The sequence below is a fragment of the Homo sapiens genome, chromosome 2, assembly GCF_000001405.40.
Source record: "Homo sapiens chromosome 2, GRCh38.p14 Primary Assembly".
In the NCBI taxonomy this organism is placed as follows: Eukaryota; Metazoa; Chordata; class Mammalia; order Primates; family Hominidae; genus Homo; species Homo sapiens.
Genome location: NC_000002.12, coordinates 21,595,495 through 21,616,280, shown reverse-complemented (window position 1 = coordinate 21,616,280; position 20,786 = coordinate 21,595,495). Strand labels below are relative to the sequence as shown.

The following is a 20,786-nucleotide window of genomic DNA, read 5'->3' as shown; positions in this document are numbered from 1 at the left end:
AAATTATTAAAAACAATCAAGCAGAATTTCTGGAGCTGAAAGAAGAATGCCTTAGAGTCTTTTAATAGCAGAATTGATGAAGCAGAAGAAAGAACTAGTGAGTTTGAAGACAGGCTATCTGAAAATATACAGTTAGAGGAGACTACAGAAAAAATAATTTAAAAAAATGAAGCATGGCTATGGGATATAGAAAATTACCTCAAAAAGGCAAATCTAAGAGATATTGGCCTGAAAGAGAAAGTAGAGAAAGACATAGGGGTATGAAGTTTATTCAAAGGGATGAAAACAAACAACTTCCCAAACCTAGAGAAAGATATCAATATCCAAGCACAAAAAGGTTATAGAATACCAAGTCCATTAAATCAGAGAAGATTACCACTAGGCATTTAGTAATCAAACTCCCAAAGGTAAAAGATAAAGAACGGATTTTAAGAGCAGCAATATAAAAGAAACAAATAACATACGATAGAGTGCCAATACATCTGTTAGCATATTTTTCAGTAGAAATCTTACAGGCAAGGAGAGAATGGCATGACATATTTAAAGTGCTAAAGGAAAAAAATCTTTTACTCTAGAATAGTATATCCAGTGAAAAATATCCTTCAAACATGAAGGAGAAATAAAGGAAGACAAACAAAAGCTGAGGGATTTATCAATACCAGACCTGTCCCATAAGAAATGCTAAAGGGAGTACTTCAATAAAAAAGAAAAAGACACTAATTATCAATAAATAATCACCTGTATGTACATAACTCACCAGTAATAGTAAGTATACAGGACAACACAGAATATTATAACACTGTAACTGTGGTATTGTAAACTAATTTTATCCTAAGTAGAAAGAATAAATGATGAACCAGTCAAAAATAATAACTACAATAGCTTTTCAAGATATAGTCAGTACAGTAAGATATAAATAGAAACAGCAAAAAGTTGAAAAGTCGGGGGACAAAGTTAAGGTGTACAGTTTTTATTAGTTTTCCTTTTGCTTGTTTGTTTATGCAAATAATGTTAAGTTGTAATCAAGTTAAAATAATGGGTTATAACATAGTATTTGCAAGCTTCATGGTAATCTCAAACCAAGAAACATACAATGGATACACAAAAAATTAAAAGTAAGAAACTAAGTCATATCACCAGAGAAAATCACCTATACTAGGGGAAAACAGGAAGGAAAGAATAAAGAGAAGACCATAAAACAACTAGAAAACAAATAACAAAATGGCAGTAGTAAGTCCTTACTTATCAATAATAACACTGAATGTAAATGGACTAACCTCTCCAATCAAAAGACATAGGCTCTGACTGAATGAATGAAAAAACAAGACCCATTGATTTGTTGCCTACAAAGAATACATTTCAGCTATAAAGACACACATAGACTGAAAATGAAAGGATGAAAAAAGATGTTTCACGCCAATGGAAACCAAAAAATGGGCAGGAGTAGCTATACTTATATCAGACAAAATAGGTTTCAAGACAAAAACTTCAAAAAGAGACAAAGAAGTTCACTACGTAATGATAAAAAGGACAATTCAGCAAGACAGCAGGAGGATGTGACAATTTTCAATATATCTGTACCCAACACTGGAGCACATAGCTATATAAAGGAAATATTTTTAGAGCTAAAGAGATAGATAGGCCCTAGTACAATAATAGCTAGCGCCTTCAACATTCCACTTTTGTCATTGGACAGATCTTCCAGACATAAAATCAACAGAAACATCAGACTTAATCTGCACTATAGAACAAATGGATCTAATGGATATTTACAGAATGCTTTATCCAAGAGCTGCAGAATACACATTTTTTTCTTCAGCATATGGATCATTCTCAAGGACAGACCATAGGCTATGTCACAAAACAAGTCCTAAAACAAGTTAAAAATTGAAATAATATCAAGCATCTTCTCTGACCACAATGCAATAAAACTAGAAATTAATAATAAGAGGAATTTTGGAAACTATACAAATATATAGCAATTAAAACAATATGCTCTGAATGACAAGTGGGCCAATGAAGAAATTAAGAAGGAAATTGAAAAATGTCTTGAAATACAACATAATGGAAACACAACATACCAAAATCTGTGTGATACACCAAAAGTAGTACTAAGAGGGAAGTTTATAGCTATTAGTGCCCACATTAAAAAAGAGGAAAACTTCAAATGAATGATCTAATCATGCATCTTAAAGAACCAGTAAAGCAAGAGCAAACCAAACCGAAAATTAGTAGAAGAAAAATAATGAGGATCAGACCAGAAATAAATGAAATTAAAATAAAAATAAACATTACAAATGAACCCAAAAGCTGATTTCTTGAAAAGTTACACGAAATTGACAAACCTTTAACCAGACTAAGAGAAAAAAAGAGAGAAGATCTAAATAAACAAAATCAAAATGAAAAAGGAGACATTACAGTTGATACTGCAGAAATTCAAAGGTTCATTAGCAGCTATTGTAAGCAACTATATGCCAATAAATTAGAAAATCTGGAAGAAATGGATGAATTCCTGGATACATATAACCTACTCAGATTGAACCAGGAAGACATCCAAAGCCTGACCAGACTTATAACAATGATATCAAAGCTGGAATAAAAATCTCCCAATAAAGAAAAACTCGGGACCTAATTGCTTCACTGCTGAATTCTACCAAACGTTTAATGAATAACTTACACCAATTCTACCCAAATTATTCCAAAAAACAGAGGAGGAGGGAATACTTCCAAAATCATTCTATGAGGCCAATATTACCCTGATACCAAAACCAGACAAAGAAACATCAAAGAAAGAAAACTACAGGCCAACGTCTTTTATGACTATTGATGCAAAATCCTCAACAAAGTACTAGCAAGACAAATTCAGCAATACATTAGAAAGAGTATTCATCATAATCAAGTGGGATTTATCCCTGGGATGCAAGCATGGTTCAACATATGCAAATAAATTAGTATGATACATCCTATCAACAGAATGAAAGATAAAAGCCATATGAGAATTTCAACTGATGCCAAAAAAGCATTTAATAAAATTCAACATCTCTTCATGATTAAAAATCCTCAAAAAAATTGGGGATAGAAACAACACAACTCAACATAATAAAAGCCATATACGACAGACCCACAGCTAATGTCAAACTGAATGAGGAAAAACTGAAAGCCTTTCCATTAATATCCAGAACATGCCAAGGATGCCCACTGTCACCATTGTTATTCACCACAGTACTAGAAGACTTAGCTAGAGCAATCAGACAAGAGAAAATATAAAGGTCATCCAAATTGGAAAGGAAGATGTGAGATTATCCTTGTTTGAAGATGATATAATCTTATATTTGGAAAATCCTAAAGAGTACACAAGAAAAGTGTTAGAACTGATAAAGAACTTTAGTAAAGTTGCAGGATACAAAATCAACATGCAAAAATCAGTAGCATTTCTATATGCCAACAATGAACAATGTGAAAAAGAAATAAAAAAGTAATCCCATTTACAATAGCCACACATAAAATTAAATAACTATGAATTAACTTAACCAAAGAAGTGAAAGATCTCTATAATAAAATACATAAAACACTAATGAAATAAATTGATTAGGACACCAAAAAATGGAAAAATATTCCATGTTCATGGATTGTAAGAATCAATGTTGTTAAAATGTCCATACTACCCAAAGCAATCTACAGATTCAATGCAATCCCTATGAGAATACCAATGATATTCTTCACATAGGGCAAACCTACCTAAGATTTATATGGAACCACAAAAGAGACCCAGAATAGCCAAAGCTATCCTAAGCCAAAAAAAAAAAAAAAAAAAAACTGGAAGAATTATATTACCTGACTTCAAATTATACTACAGAGCTATAATAACAAAAACAGCATGGTACCAGCATAAAATCAGACACATAGACCAATGGAACAGAATAGAGAACCTAGAAATAAATACACACACCTATAGGGAACTCATTTTTGACAAAAGTGCCAAGAACATACACTGGGGAAAAGACAGTCTCTTCAATAAATGATGTTAGGAAAACTGGATATCCATATGCAGAAGAATTAAACTAGACTCCTATCTCTTGCCATATATAAAAATCAAATAAAATCAAAATTGATTCAAGACATAAATCTAAGACCTCAAACTATGAAACTACTACAAGAAAACATTGGGGAAATTCTCAAAGACATTGGTCTGGGAAAAGATTTTTTGAGCAATAGCCCAAAAGCATAGGCAACCAAAGCAAAAATGGACAAATGGGATCACATCAAGTTAAAAAAAGTGTCTGCACAGCAAAGGATACAATCAACAAAATAAAGAGACAACCCACAGAATGGGAGAAAATATTTGCAAACTACCCATCTGACAAGGGATTAATAACCAGAATATATAAGGAGCTCAAACAACTCTACAGGAAAAAACATCTAATAATTCTATTTAAAAAATAGGCAAAAGATTTGAATAGACATTTTGCAAAAGAAGACATACAAATGTCCAACAGGCATATGAAAAAGTGCTCAACATCATTGATCATTAGAGAATGCAAATCATATGTATACATGTGCCATGTTGGTGTGCTGCACCCGTTAACTCGACAATGAGATAGCATCTCACCCCAGTTAAAATTGCTTATATACAAAAGACAGGCAATAACAAATGCTGGCGAGGATGTCAAGAAAAGGGAACCCTTGTACACTGTTGATAGGAATGTAAGTTAGTACAACCAGTATGGAGAACAGTTTGGAAATTCCTCAAAAATCTAAAAATTGAGCTACTGTATGATCCAGCAATCCCATTGCTGGGTATATACTCAAAAGAAAGGAAATCAGAATATTGAAGACACCTGCATTCCTATTTGTTGCAGCACTGCTTACAGTAGTTAAGATTTGGAAGTAATGTAAGTTTCCATCAACTAATGAATGGATAAAGAAAATGTGGTACATATACATAATGGAGTACTATTTAGCCAGAGAAAAGAATGAGATCCAGTCATTTGCAACAACATGGGCGGAAGTGGAGATCATTGTGTTAAGTGAAATAAGCCAGGCACAGAAAGATGCACATCACATGTTCTCACTTATTTGTGGGATCTAAAAATCAAAACAATTGAACTCACTGACAGAGAGTAGAAGAATTGTTACCAGAAGCTGGGAAGGGTAGTTGGGAGCTGAGAGGAAGGTGGGAATAGTTAATGGGTACAACAAAATAGAAAGAATGAATAAGACCTACTATTTGACAGTACAGTAGGGTGACTGTAGTCAATAATAACTTAATTGCACATGTTGAAATAAAGAGTGAAATTGGATTGTTTGTAACTCTAAGGATAAATGCTTGAGGGGATGGATATCCCATTGTCCATGATGTACTTATTTCACATTGCGTGCCTGTACCAAAACATCTTAGGTACCCTATAAATATACACACATACTATGTATCCACAAAAATTAAAACAAAATAATTAATTTTAATAACTTGTCGGTTAGCCCTAGATATCCAAAATACTGCTGTTACAACAACCAGTATAAACATTAGTATATAATATTTTACATCCTTTTTAATACTAAATCTTTGAAATTGCATGTGTATTTTATACTTAATAGATTTACTCATTCATACCAGCCACATTTCAAGTGCTGAATGGCACATGTGGCTGGTGGCTACTGATTGGAAAGTGTTAAGTATAGGGTCTGGACTAAGAACATGACCAAATCTTTTCCTTAAACAGATCTGCCAAATACACAAGGACCACTTCCTGTACTGAACACACAAATACTGCAACATTTCCAGTGTCTCAACTACACCTGACCTCGCTGTTTTGCCGTCCAAGCCTAAGTCCATATTTGTCCCAACATGACCTTGGTTCTTTAACTTTATGAAAGTTATTTATTAATTTGCTCCTGCAACCTGTAACCAATAATCATCTATTTCAAAAGGCAGAAATTTTGCATACTCTTCAACGAGAAAATAATAAATCAGTCATCTATATATCAGAGTGAAGCATATAGAACAGGTCAACACTCCACATCCTGTTTCTATCCTTGGTTTACCCTCTTAGAAGTTGTCTAACTCTCAGAAGTTGCCTGAATCCTGTTTACTACTTTAGAATAGCAATTTAGGTGATGCTTCTTTCTCTAGAACCTGCTGTGATTGCTTACCCTCCTATGCCACTTCTCAAATAACTGCCAAAACCTAAAAGGAGAACTCAGATGGCCTCCAGGCTTTAGAATTTCAGACAGGAAGAACAGTAGAAGTACTTCTCTTCAATCATTATTCTTTTTGCAGAAAATCAACAAAACTCAAGAGTAAACAAGGTTTTTAGGCTCCTTCTTTTCACACTTCTTGAGATGGTGCTAATTTTATGTTTGCACAGGTGTATCTTAGTAGTTTGTCTGAATGTATGTTTGCATTTTTTATGTATCCTTCTCCACGGAGCTCAGAGATGAGCTGAATCTATTCATCATGTATGCACGTCATTGGCATTGTGGTAGTAGCATTTTTTTCTGCCAGATTTAACATATAATACAGAAGTGTACATACATAGAGTGCTGGTTTATTTTCCAGTATTACTAGGAAATTGTCTATTTTATATAAACGACGTTTCTGTATAGTTTAAGTGCCATTTGATTTCTTCTGTTTCCTGGCACTATGCTATGTGATATAAAGAGTTTACAGAATTTACAGCAACCCTGCAAAGTATCTATCTCCATTTTACATATACGGAAATTGGGTCCAGAGCAGTGAAGCACATTTGGACTTGGAACTGCTACTTATGCATTGTGTTAACTTAGATTTTAACCATTATACTGCATTGTCTATATGCAGAAACCCTCACTGTTCCACTACTTCTAGTATTCTCTCCTAAGAAGCTTAACTTTACAAACCACATTAAGTCTCCTCTGCTATAAAGGTTGTGTCATATCTCACCAAAAAGCAAAAGGGTACAGGATTTGTGAGAGCTCTTTTTGTTCTTAGAAATCTGTTTAACCAATTTCGATCACTTTGTGTGGATTGGATGGCTGGAAATATGGCCTATGGGCAAATGAGGCATGTCTTTATGACTTATTCAGAAGGAGAAATGGAACTAAAGCTCAGTCCTCTAATTCTTGAATGAGAAGTGAAGCATTTCTAGTGATGGGAGTTGCTGAAGATGAATAAGTAGCTCAGCTCAGATAATTTAAATATTTCCTGGGTTATCATTATCCTCAAGAAATCATGTAAATATTTATCTATTGATCAATATGTATACAATGTACACATATATGTATGTATTTAAATACACACATATTCCTTTGAATACAAATGTGACACAAGCATTCTGTTATATTTTGAGTCCCTCCAGAAAACTCCAGCATCTTTGGTTAGCCAGGCATTCATATTCTTGCCAGATTCCCCATTTAGCAAATAGTATAGCTTTGGGTCAGTGGTGAGGGCTATAGTTATAACTTGTAGTAGGTACAGAAAACTAGATATTGTATCCAAGTAAAACAAACTACTTGTAAGTAAATAAAATTGTGATTTTGATTTCATTCCTACCATGAATTTTTTATGCATCTCGAGAAAATATTGTCATAATCAGAGACACCACAATAACTAAAAATGAAGAAAATTGGTATTAGATTTAAAAGAATGCATTTATTTAATCAATCAAAAAGTATTAACTAAGCTCTTACAGCATACAAGATTTTACAGAAGGACTAATATTAAGAATAGGGAACACGGTCTTCATGTATAATAGTTAAGCATAGAAAGAACTAAAATCAGGAAAATAAGAATTTAAGTGTTTTTTCAAATTTTGTGTAACACCCAAGCTAGAATCACTATCATACCATATAGATAGGATCCCCTTGTCCTCAATAATGGAGGGACTTCCCAGAGCCTTGGCATGGCAGAGAGGCTGAAGGAGGAGCCACAGTTCTGAGGGTCCCCAGCAACAAGCCCACAACCATTGGGGACGGAATACGATGGCCTTCTCTGAAAATGCAGCTCATACAACATTGGCTTGGTATACATGGGCTCCTGGTCTCTCACTGCCATTAAAATTTCCTGTGAACTATGTAATACATTTTTAAAAATACAAATTTCACTCCACTCACATACGCACACAAACTTGAACCCTCATCAGTGATCTACTGATAAGACTACTTTCTTTTCTACAGTCATCCCAGATACATTCCTTTCTGTACATTGTGTATTAAAGATGGGCATATTTTATTTCATTTTTGTATTTTGCCTCTGCTCATGCAAAAGATGTAATCTGTTTCCCTTTGCCTTAAATTTTAGCTGGTCCTGTGACTTCCTTTGATCAATAAGATGCATCAGAGGCGACAGGGTGTAATTTTCAAGGGTGGGCCTCTTTAACTTCTGCTTTCTCGTAGATGGAATTCTGCTCCTGGAACCAGCCACCATGCTATGCAGAGCTGAATCCATGTAGAAAGCTAGCAAGAGGATTCAAGGAGCCCTGGCTGACAGCTGAGCTGAGCTCTGTCCTGTAGCCAGCACTGACAGCCAGCTATGTAATTGAGCCATCATAGACATTACCGTCTCATTGTGCCTTCGGAAGATGACAGCCCCAGTCAATACCACACAGAGCGGAAGAACTACCCAGCTGAGACCAGTCCTACACCGAATTGTGAAAGATGATAAATGGTCATTGTTCTCAGCTATTACATTTTCAGAGTCATTTGTTATACAGGGATAAATAACCAAATCACCCTCCATTTCTATTCAGCTTTTAGCTTCAATCTAGACCCTCAGTATCCTCAGTTTTTGGAAGTATACTCGCAAGCATTTGGCACATAATAAAGGCTCAGTGAATATTAAATATGTGTGTGTATATATACAATCCACTTCTATACACCACAAGAAAGTTGTTTTACAAAAACTAACTGGTAACTGCATGTTCTTAGTGCTTTTAGACCACCCCGGGGACATCATAATTCTTCCTTAACCTCTGCAATACCAATTTAGAGGAACAGTGGAAGGAAGTGTTGCTGCACATGTTCTCATATGCTCCTGCTACTTCCATTTCTCACCAGTGTCTCATGATCCTCTCTAGGCTCCACACCAATATATGCAGCTGAGTTTCTTGTGGGTTTCCAATTGTCAGCTCTAGGAAAGAATGTTTTCTTTCCTGAAATGAGATTGTCTCTATGACCTAAACTCCAGGGTTCAAGAACAAAGGACCCTGACAGTGGAGGCTGCCAAAGTCACTTGCCAAAATACTGCAGAGAGCATTAGTCCATTTTAGAGGCTTGTTCAATGTGTAGAACATTCCAAAGATAATCATAGATTAACATCTTTCATTCAATGCAATTTTTTCTTCTATTTTAATAAGTCTCGGATCTTCCTTATACACGTTAAACCACAGGCATCTCTCTTCATGTTTTCACCATCCCAGAAATATTAAAGACCCTTCCTAGGAAGTCTTTTGATGAATTGCTTAAACAATATGTCCCACATCTGGAGAGTTCCTTATAATATTCAAAGTACTTTATATATATACCATCTCTTTTATGTCAGTCTCTTCATGAATAGAATTCTAGCTTTGGGTCTTTTAAGGTCTGCCTTCCATGGAGGCTAATTGTGTGAGGACTATTGATCTAGCAGATGTTTGTCTGCTTCTTTCAGATGTTTCTCCAGTCCATTGTCTTTGCTCTCAGGCATTTGTAAAGGCAGGAAATATACAGACATATTTTATTCTAGGACTTGTAGTAGCTAATCATTTTCAAAACAATCATTTTGAAAAAGTAATGGCATCATTGATGCTTTACAATTATGCAAATCTAAGAGAGGGGAAGTACTGCCATTACTTCCTTCTGCCGTAATGCCATAAAAGCACAAGATTTTCGAGTGGAGTTGGATGTCAAGTATGTCCAGGTGAGTCACCTGATTAATCAGCATCAATAAACTCCATAGTCTCTTGCTCCAATTGCGTTACTGACAGTGAAAACTCTGCCTTTGATGCTGCTTGCGTGTTTGAGAAATACTACCATCATTACAAAATTAAGTCACTTTGAACTCAAGTGTCTCAGCTAATTGTGTAATGTGACTTTATTCACTCCTTGCCCCCAACATCACTCTCCTCTAAGCACTTCCATGAAGAATTTTTTGTCATTCACGCATCTTTTTAAACCCAATACCACTTTCTGCTCTCACTCCCAAGGGAGTGACTGTGGTGAGAAGAAACTGAGAAGAAATGAAAGAATAACTCACAAAGCAGAACCCTGGAGAGAAACCTCACCACATCATACTGCATTTGTTCCCAGATAAGGCTTTGACTTCAAATCCCAACTCTGACACTTGGTATACTATTTAAACCAACTGACTTCCCAATTTCCTTATTTATAAACCAGAATAATAATAGTACTTAATGCATAGAATTGTTATAATATGGCATATATCCTGCGCTTAGCACATAGGTGTTCAACAAATTGTTATTAATCTAACATTGCACAATTAATACATAGGCAGGTGGCATGTGCCATCCTCTCTGCCAGGCACTGACAAAAAGGACAGGATACAGTTTTGCAATGCAGGGACGTGAAGTTTACTTGGGGAAGTGTGATAGTTATTTTATGTGTTCACTTGACTGGGCTAAGAGATGCCCAAAACAACGGGTAAAATATTATTTCTGGATGTGTCTGTGAGGGTGTTTCCAGAAGAGATTCGCATTTGAATCAATAGACTAAGTATAGAAGAACTGTCTTTATCAATGTGGGGGGGCATCATTCAATCCACTGAGGGCAATGATAGAACAAAAAGGCAGGGGAAGGGTGACTTCCTTCTCTCTGTTTGAACTGGGGCATCTACCTTCTCCTGCCCTCAGAGATCAGTGCTCATCTTTCTCAGGCCTTGAGACTGACTGAGAATTACCCACCAGTTTTTCTGGTTTTCCAGCTTGCAGATGGTAGATCATGGGACTTCTTAGCCTCCATAATTGCATAAGAAAATTCTCATAGTAAATATTCACATCAAATATCATAAGAATTAAGAATACAAGGGAAGCTCACACTGAGTGGGAAAGTGGTCAGGGAAGTCTTCTTAGAGGTGTCAGACTTCAAATGAAGGACAAATTTTTCATAAGTGGAGAGAAAGAGGAGTGGAATCTATGAAAGCAGAATTTGGAGAACATGGTTTACATAAAAGATCTCACTTTGAACAAAGATTTGGATGTGTTTAATGTGTTTGGAACAAGGTGTACTGATCAGCCTCTGATATTCCATCCATCCGTAAAGTAAGACTCTAGAGCTCCAGTGGATCACTGTACTCTCTTACAGCTTTGAAGTCCAAACAGGTATAAGTAAACCTTAGCAGCCAATGACACAATACAAAAGAAAGTGCTAGGAAAGCATGCCGTGAGGAAGACACAGGTAAACATTGAGCTGCATAATAGGGGACATCCTTACCTGAGTGTGGGCACTTCCACCACCCGATGGGGTCTTGGACAAGAATGAGAAGAACTATCTTACAGATGTTCATGAATACGTATTAGAACTATGCATCCTTACACTCAACCGTACATCCCGATTTTGTTAATTTCTGCTCATTTCATCATCCCTGATACACTTGGCGAGTGCTTTTGCATTGAATTAATGAAATCATAAGTTTGGCAAATATGATATTAACTAGAATTATTATTAGAAATAAGTTCTTTTTTGTGTTCAGAGGCCAAACCAGTTTGGGAACAGGATGAGTGTTACCTTTCCATTTCAAGAAGATTCCAAAGGCCAACATTCCTAATACTGTGCATAGCTACATACCATGCCTTATTTCACCTAAAGCACAGCAATAATTTAGCAGTCATTAAGCAATGATTATATGCTTAATGCATATAAATTCTAGAATTTTAGAATTAAAAAGAAACCTAGAAATTACCTAACCTATTTCCCAAATTAGGCTATACCATCAGGTTCCTCCATTTCTAAATGATGTCTTACAAAGGAGGACAATCTTAGCCAAAGCATTAAGCATATACTACAACAACAGAAAATAAAATATTTTATGGCTAGGGAGAAAAGAACCATTTTGATCATGGAACAATGTATTTAAATTTATTTTTAAGTCATTTTGGCTGGATGGTGTTTATCAAGAGACTATGGATGAAGGTGGATTGGGTGTTGTGGGAAAGCAAGGGCTTCTTGCAGCCAACAGACTCAAGACACATTTTCCTCAATACTATTTTGGACTTTATTCCCCCCATAAGCTTTCAAATTTCAATCACTACCCCACTGAGTCTGGGGAGAAATTGATAAAGAAAATAATATAGCAGACAATCACAAGTGAATTGAATTTGAGCACAATTGAGATGAACTGCAGTGTTTAAAAATAGAACCATTTCAGAAATGGGCTTAAGGGAGAGCTTTTTTCCTCTTATGTGTTGCTTAAATGTTTGAGACCAGAAAGAAGAGAAGGAATTAGAAGGGCGGCAGATGGGGGGCGGGCTGGGGAGAGGTTATGAACTAACTTGGCTAAATGTTTATTTCATTCTTCTCAGCTTTTTCATTTTGGGGACATTTCTTCCAACTACCTGAGCTGCATTAGAAGGGGAAATTGTTAAAATAAAATGATGTCGCCTATAATCACAGGTGAATTGGATTTTTCCACATGGGCTGTGGTGCGTAAAAGCCTTTTCTTCTTAAGACACACACACACACACACACACACACATTATACGTGTGTGTGTGTGTGTGTGTGTGTGTGTATTACTGAAGTCTTGTGGAGGGAAAAACAGAATCACAAATTCATAGAATCTTAGAACTGAAAAGGAACCTAGAAATTACCTAACCTATTTCCCAAATAGGGCTGTACCATCAGGTTCCTCGAGAGAACTTAAAAAATATTATTTCCTGATCCTACTCAAGGCTGAATCAGACTCCCTAAGGCTGAGACTCCAGCATGGGTAGTTTAAAAGCTCTCCAAAAACCTTTAAAGAAGCCAGACTAATGTCTAAAGCTACTGATTTAATGCACCTCTCATGATTTATAGAAAAGGAAACCAAATCTCTGAAAGGAGAATTCACGTGGATATTAAGGGACAAAGCGAAAAACTGAATTCAGTGTTCCTGGATTCTGGTACATTGGACTTTCTACTACTCCAAAAAGAAAGTGATAAAGGATTGTAGATGTCCCCAGAATAATTTAGACTAAAAGAATCTCCTTAGGAAAGTGTGGGTGTCTCAGCTGACAACATGTGCGATTCCCCATCATAGCAGTACCAGAGACCAGATAAGAAGTGCCTGACCTGAACTGTGGAAACCAATGCTGCCTTAATTAGAATCTGTAGTACCATGTCTCGGCTTTGGTCTTTTGGAGTGCAGGCTCATCAGACAATGATCATTTCTTCACTTACTGGACAATACAATTTACAGGTTTCAGTCCTGAAATAAGCTCAGGCCAGACAATGTGAAGATACAGGTGCAAGGCTGTGCCCACAAGACAGTGCTAGGCTCACACCTGTAAATATTTAAAGAATAAGCCAAATCAATATTTTCTGCAAATAACTCTTCTAATTTAGGAAGCTGATTGTGCCAATAATGTATTCTCAGAATTCGTAGTGACTTTAAAAATTATTTAAACTTTCACCAAGGCAGGAAACTGGACCACAACATCCATGTGATGTGGTGGGCTAGACTCCACTTGGGCATGTTTACTGAGGGGTAGTCCACTCTTTCGTTGTAGACAACAAATTAGACAACCTATTTTGTTGTCTCATCTCTTGTTTTCTAGAAAACATTTTCCCCTTTTAATGAAATTTTCTTCTGTGCAATTTCCAAACTCGTATGCTCCCTCCAGAAGTGTTTATTTTCTTAAAATAAATTTGTTTCTGGTACCAAGTAGCAGCTCCTAAAATATTTGCAGAAAGCTATTAAGTGACCCTCTTCCACTCCCCTGCCTCAAACAAACAGAAGTACTTCTTCTGACTTTTGCTATGACCCCAGCATGTTAGTCTGCTCTTTATATTACTAATGTAGTCATTCAATGCATAATTATGTCTCAGTCAACGAAGGACCACATACAGTGTGGTGTTCCCATAAGAGTATAATACTGTATTTTTGCCAAACCTTTTCTGTATTTAGCTGTGTTCAGATGCACAAATATACCATTATGTTCCAGTTGCCTACAGCATTTAATACAGTAACATGCTGTCCAGGTTTGTAGCCTAGGAGCAATAGGCTACACCACATAGCCTAGGTGTGCAGTAGGCTATACTATCTAGGTTTGTGTATGTATACTTGATGATGTTCACACAATGATGAAATTGCCTAATGACACATTTCTCAGAACTTATCCCCATAGTTAAGCAACACGTGGCTATACAGTACTCATCATATGACAACTGACTGTACAGGACCTCCCTCAGCCCTAGACTCTGGTCTCCTTGAGAGCAGATGCTGTGATGTAGTTGTTCATCCCTGCATCTCTATTCCCCAGCATAATGTGTGACATACACCAAGTATTTAAATGTTTTGGTAATTGAATCAAACCTCATCCTACTTTCAAGCTACTTCTTTGGTATAAATACCTTAAATTCCTTGAAATTCTAGGCTCCTTGACATAAGTTTGGTTTTGTTCATTATTATACTGTAACACCTATCACAGAGTACTCCCATTAATGTGAATTAATTTGACAATGTTTTTCAGATGCTTCATAAATCTTATTAGTTTCTTCTTCTGGACACATGCCTCTTTAAAGTCTCTTTTAAAAAATCACTACAACCCTGAATGAGGTCTTGAGACAAGTGGAATTGTTGTTTTCCTTGAGTTTGACATTGTGCAGCCCCAATTTATTTGAGTTTTCAAATAGTCACCTTGTGGCTTTGGTTCAGACTAAACTTACAGTTTGTGAAATCTGAAAGTCCTTTTCTCAGAAATATTTGTAATGATATTTTCCAAATCTTGAAAAACAATGACCAATTTTAATTTTAACTAAAATACAGACCTAAAAACTTAATATAGCATAATGACTAACTTCTCAGGTTCAAACCGTGGTTCTGCCACCTATTAATTATGTGACTCTGGGCAAATTGCGCCTCTTTTCTGAACATCAGCTTCCTTATCTACAGATTAGGCATAATTATAGAAACTTCATAGGTATTTTTCCACTTAGTAAATGAGATAGTGCATAAACCTACTTTCTTCTATGTCTAGCACAGAATAAACACTAAATATATGTAATTTGTACATGTTTCAGCCTATTATTTTAGTTTGGCAAAATTATTTGAGCCCTATCTGTCAAATGGCTTCTTAAATTGACCTCCTAAATTTGAACCAAATAAAAATGTAATTAGTCTGCCTCTAGTGCTTTCAGTCATGGCATTGATTGAAGAGAGAGAGAAAGGGTAGGGGCTCTTATTCAAGTTATCTTAGTCACATTGATTCACAGTTTTTGATGAATTTGCCCAATCACTTATATAAAAGAATCTGCAACATATACCATAAGCCTTCATTCTCTTCTTCCCTATAAATTTATTTTCATTAGGTCAACTAATGTGCTAGCAAACCATTGTGCAGAGATATAGGTTTGTTCTGCTACCAAGCACATATCCTGTATTTCGTGTTGATGCAGAAAGGCAAAACTAGTTGTCTTCAGATTGATACAGGGGATATTTAAAAATTTAGATCAAGGGAGCCATAGAGTACTCTGCTACTCTCAGGCAAGCCTCTGGGCAGGTCATGGTTTACCATGGTAAACTTTGCGTTTTGGACATAAGCTTATATGCTAGAGGCAGAGCCACCATGTTTCACTGTAATTCCAGAATGTCTTGTATCAGTTTCTAAATAATTTGAGCATGAATCTTGACTTCCCAAGAATATTATGAGTAACATGAGGGCAAACACTGTGTATCCCATTAACATCACCCTCAATCTACTTCTTCCAAGAAAAGAAGGTGGTGATAATAGACCATCCTCAGAGGTGTGTGAGATCCAAGCAGAAATTGGCCCCTGGAGCTTAGTGGTATACTCGGGTTTTCCTCCCCACCTTGCCTTTAGGTCCATTGGCCCAGAATGTAAGTGAGAGACCCAAAAGATGGAAACCTTGCACATGCTGTGAAAATCTGAAATATTGTTTTATAGTCACATTCTAAAGCTTCCTGACAGATGACACGTTACTGAGAACACTGTACAATGAACAACACACACACAACTTATGAGCATTATTGGAATCCTCTTTAGAAAACAAACAACAAAACTGCTCACAGCTTCCAGATCCTGCCTTATAAATCTCTTTTCAAAGCCTCTACATAGCTATGTCTACTGTCCAACTCATTCCTGTGTGTATTCTGGAAAAGTCGATTAGGAAATGCTTATTAAATATTTATGTCCTGCCTATTCAGGTGGCTCAACCCTGCCTTCAACAAGTTCACTGCTACCCAGGAAAGAAGGGAACCACCTGAAACGGTGTTCAGGCATCCAAGGACTGAAGGCTGAATTGTATGTTCTTGTAACAAGCACCCAAGAACTGAAAGCTGAATTGAATGTTACAGACCACAAGTGCCATAGGAATTCAAAGGGGAAATAGCACAGTACCAGAAGGAGTGACTGGGGAAGACCACAAGTGGCATAGGAATTCAAAGGGGAAATAGCACAGTACCAGAAGGAGTGACTGGGGAAGGCTTCCTGGAAGGGGTAACCTCTCAACTCATTGTAAAAAGGTGAACAGGATTGTGTACAGGCAAGTGACATTTACAATATTTTTCAATCATTAAACTGCACTGCTGACTACATGCAGCCGGTTGCTTCTATTTACTCAGGAAAAAAAAAAAAAAAAAGCTTAATTCAAAGCCAAAAGTTAATCATGGGCCCCAGGCCTGTGCCTGTAGAAAGCTGCCTCCACTTTCCCTGGGGTTTCCCAGGGTGCATAGTCTGGCAGAGGTCAGCAGGGAAACAGGGTGAACACTAATTAATTTTGTGTGCCAGTTTTATAACAAGATTATTTCCTAAAGTGCAGGCAAGATTTTATACACCGTGGAAGCATTTCTGGAGACAGAATTATATTTTTCACTTGTGTTGAAGTTTTATCATAATTTTGAAATCCATTTATATCAAAGAAAAGAAAAATTAACATTATTTAAGCACAGGGATAAAGTTACCCTTCAGGTGGTAAAGTCAGAGATCCTTGGCTTTAAAAAACAGGCAGAAAGAAGAATTTTGAAACAATAAAACCAGCTGGCTTTAAACACTTACTGAATTTCCTTAAAATTTTTTCAAATAACTATATCTTCTAGATACTTCATAGGATAAAGACAGAAAGAATTAACTAACATTGCAGCAGTGACTATGACCAGGATGGCCAGGAGATATGAGCTGGGGCCAGACTCATCAGCAATTTTTCCACTGACCAATGTTCATTGAAAGCCTGCTAAATGCCAGGTACTGTGAAGGACATCAAAATTCCCTAGAGCTGAGACACTGAAGTGAGGCAGAAAGTGCCAAGCACAAGTTGAGATTTTTGAGAGCTTTGTGTTTAGGAGTCAGTCCTCAGCAAGAAGAGGGGCCCATGATGAAAGAAGCTAATCAGAAACCATGAGAAATGTCAAAAAATCTGCATAGTAGACATTCCTAATTCACCTCAATGACCAAAGGAGGAAGAAAGGAAACTATTGGGACTTCAAACCATTGCTTTACTGGAATCATTTTAATACTTCAAGGTTAGGGCATTTCCAGCTACTTCCTGTGCTAGATACACTACATGACAATGATGTTTTTTTTTCTCATCATGCTGTGACCTTTCAATGTTTTCCATTAAGAAATGATTGGTTCATCAACTTTAGCAGTCTCAGGATACAAAATCGATCTGGAAAAATCACAAGCATTCCTATACACTAATAACAGACAAGCAGAGAGCCAAATCATGAGTGAACTCCCATTCACAATTGCTACAATGAAAATAAAATACCTAGGAATACAACTTACAAGGGATGTGAAGGACCTCTTCAAGGAGAACTACAAGCCACTGCTCAAGGAAATAAGAGAGGATGCAAAGAAATGGAAAAAAAAAATCCATGATCATGAATAGGAAGAATCAATATAGTGAAAATGGCCACACTGCCCAAGGTAATTTGTAGATTCAATGCTATTCCCACCAAGCTCCATTGACTTTCTTCACAGAACTAGAAAAAACTACTTTAATTTTCATATGGAACCAAAAAAGTGCCTGAATAGCCAAGACAATCCTAAGTGAAAAGAACAAAGCTGCAGGTATCATGACATCTGACTTCAAAATATACAACAAGGTTACAATAACAAAAACGGCAAGGTACTGGTACCAAAACAGACACATTGACCAATGTAACAGAATAGAGGCCTCAGGAATAACACCACACATCTAAAATCATCTGATCTTCGACAAACCTGACAAAAACAAGCAATGGGGAAAGGACTCCCTATTTAATAAATGGTGCTGGGAAAACTGGCTGACCACATACAGAAAACAAAAATTGAACCCCTTCTTTATACCTTATACAAAAATTAACTCAAAATAAACTAAAGATTTAAACATAAAACCTAAAAGCATAAAAACTCTAGAATAAAACCTAGGCAATACCATTCCGGGCATAGGCATGGGCAAAGACTTTATAGCTAAAACACCAAAAGCAATTGCAACAAAAGCCAAAATTGACAAATGGGATCCAATTAAATGAAAGAGCTTCTGCACAGCAATAGAAACTATCATCAGAGTGAACAGGCAACCTATAGAATGGGACAAAATTTTTGCAATCTATCCATCTGACAAAGGTCTAACATCCAGAATCTACAAGGAACTTAAACGAATTTACATTTACAAGAAAAAAAAAATAAAAAAGTGGGTGAAGGATATGAACAGACACTTCTCAAAAGAAGACATTTATGTAGCCAACAAACATATGAAAAAATGCTCATCATCACTGGTCACTAGAGAAATGCAAATCAAAACCACAATGAGATACCATCTCATGCCAGTTAGAATGGGGATCATTAAAAAGTCTGGAAACAGGCCGGGCATGTGGCTCACACCTGTAATCCCAGCACTTTGGGAGGCCGAGGCGGGTGGATCACAAGGTCAGGAGATCAAGACCATCATGGCTAACACGGTGAAACCCCATCTCTACTAAAAATACAAAAAAATTAACTGGGTGTGGTGGCGGGCTCCTGTAGTCCCAGCTACTCAGGATGCTGAGGCAGGAGAATGGCATGAACCCGGGAGGCAGAGCTTGAGGTAAGCCAAGATCACACCACTGCACTCCAGCCTGGGTGACAGAGTGAGACTCCATCTCAAAAAAAAAAAAAAAAGTCTGGAAACAACGGATGCTGGCAAGGATGCAGAGAAATAGGAAGACTTTTACACTGTTTGTGGGAGTGTAAATTAGTTCAACCATTGTGGAAGACAGTGTGGTGATTCCTCAAGTATCTAGAACCAGAAATACCATTTGACCCAGCAATCCCATTACTAGATATATACACAAACGATTATAAATTATTCTACTAAAAAGACACATGCACACATATGTTTATTGCAGCACTATTTACAATAGCAAAGACTTGGAACCAACCCAAATGCCCATCAATTACAGACTGGATAAAGAAAATGTGGCACATATACACCTGGAATACTATGCAGCCATAAAAAAGGATGAGTTCATGTCCTTTGCAGGGACATGGATGAAGCTGGAAACCATCATCCTCAGCAAACTATCACAGGAACAGAAAACCAAACACCACATGTTCTCACTCATAGGTGGGAGTTGAACCATGAGAACACATGGACACAGGCTGGGGAACATCACATACTGGGGCCTGTTGGTGCATGGGGGGCAAGAGGAGGGAGAGCATTAGGACAAATACCTAATGTAAGTGGGGCTTAAAGCCTAGATGATGGGTTGATAGATGCAGCAAACCACCATTGCACATGTATACCTATGTAACAAACCTCCATGTTCAGTACTTGTATCCCAGAACTTAAATAAAATAAAAAATAAAGGAATAAAGAAATGATTGGTTCATAAAATACATAGACAGATATAGTTATAGGCATATACATATCTGTTTGTGCATATTTGTATACATATGTATGTGTGTATATAAGTGTGTGTGTCTATTAGTCCATTCTCATTCTGCTAATAAAGACAAACCCAAGACTGGGGAAAGAAAGAGTTTTAATTGATTCACAGTTCAGCATAGCTGGGGATGCCTCACAAACTTAACATCATGGTGGAAGGGAAAGCAAACATGTCCTTCTTCACATGGCAGCAGGAGAGAGAAGTGCCAAGCAAAAGGGGGAAAAGCCCCTTATAAAACCATCAGATCCCATGAGAACTCATTATCACGAGAACAGCATACGTATAACCACTCCCATAATTCAATTACCTCCCACTGGGTCCTTCCTATGTCACATGGGGATTATGGGAACTACAATTCAAGATGAGATTTGATGGGGACACAGCCAAATGATATCTGTGTGTGTGTGTGTGTGTGTGTGTGTGTGTATTCATATACATATCCATGTATAGATATATATTTATCTATCCGTCTATCTGTCTAGTGGGTTAACAAATATTTGCATTTATTTTTAAAAGTCATAGTACAGAGCCACAAAGGTTATTTAAATAGATGAAAGGGAGGTCTGAAAAGTAGTAATGAAAATGAAATAAATTTCATTTTCTCTTTTTTCAGTTATAATTATCTATAATTATAATAATGCATAAAATTAGTTTTATATTATATTATCTATAATTATCTATAGCTTAGAAAACAAAAGCTATATTGGATAGTCATTTTCCTCCTAAGACTGTCACCGTGGTTTAAACAATTTCAGC

At 36.6% G+C, this 20,786-nt stretch overlaps 1 long non-coding RNA gene across 1 annotated transcript in view; it reads left to right on the top strand.

The window, feature by feature from the left end:
- The window catches only part of LOC101929230 (uncharacterized), a 42,108-nt gene extending 33,292 nt beyond the window's left edge, over positions 1 to 8,816 (top strand). The window contains exon 6 of the long non-coding RNA XR_001739327.2: positions 8,371 to 8,816. This is a non-coding gene — a long non-coding RNA (uncharacterized LOC101929230). The remainder of the gene's footprint in view (positions 1 to 8,370) is intronic.
- Positions 8,817 to 20,786: the final 11,970 nt, after the last annotated feature.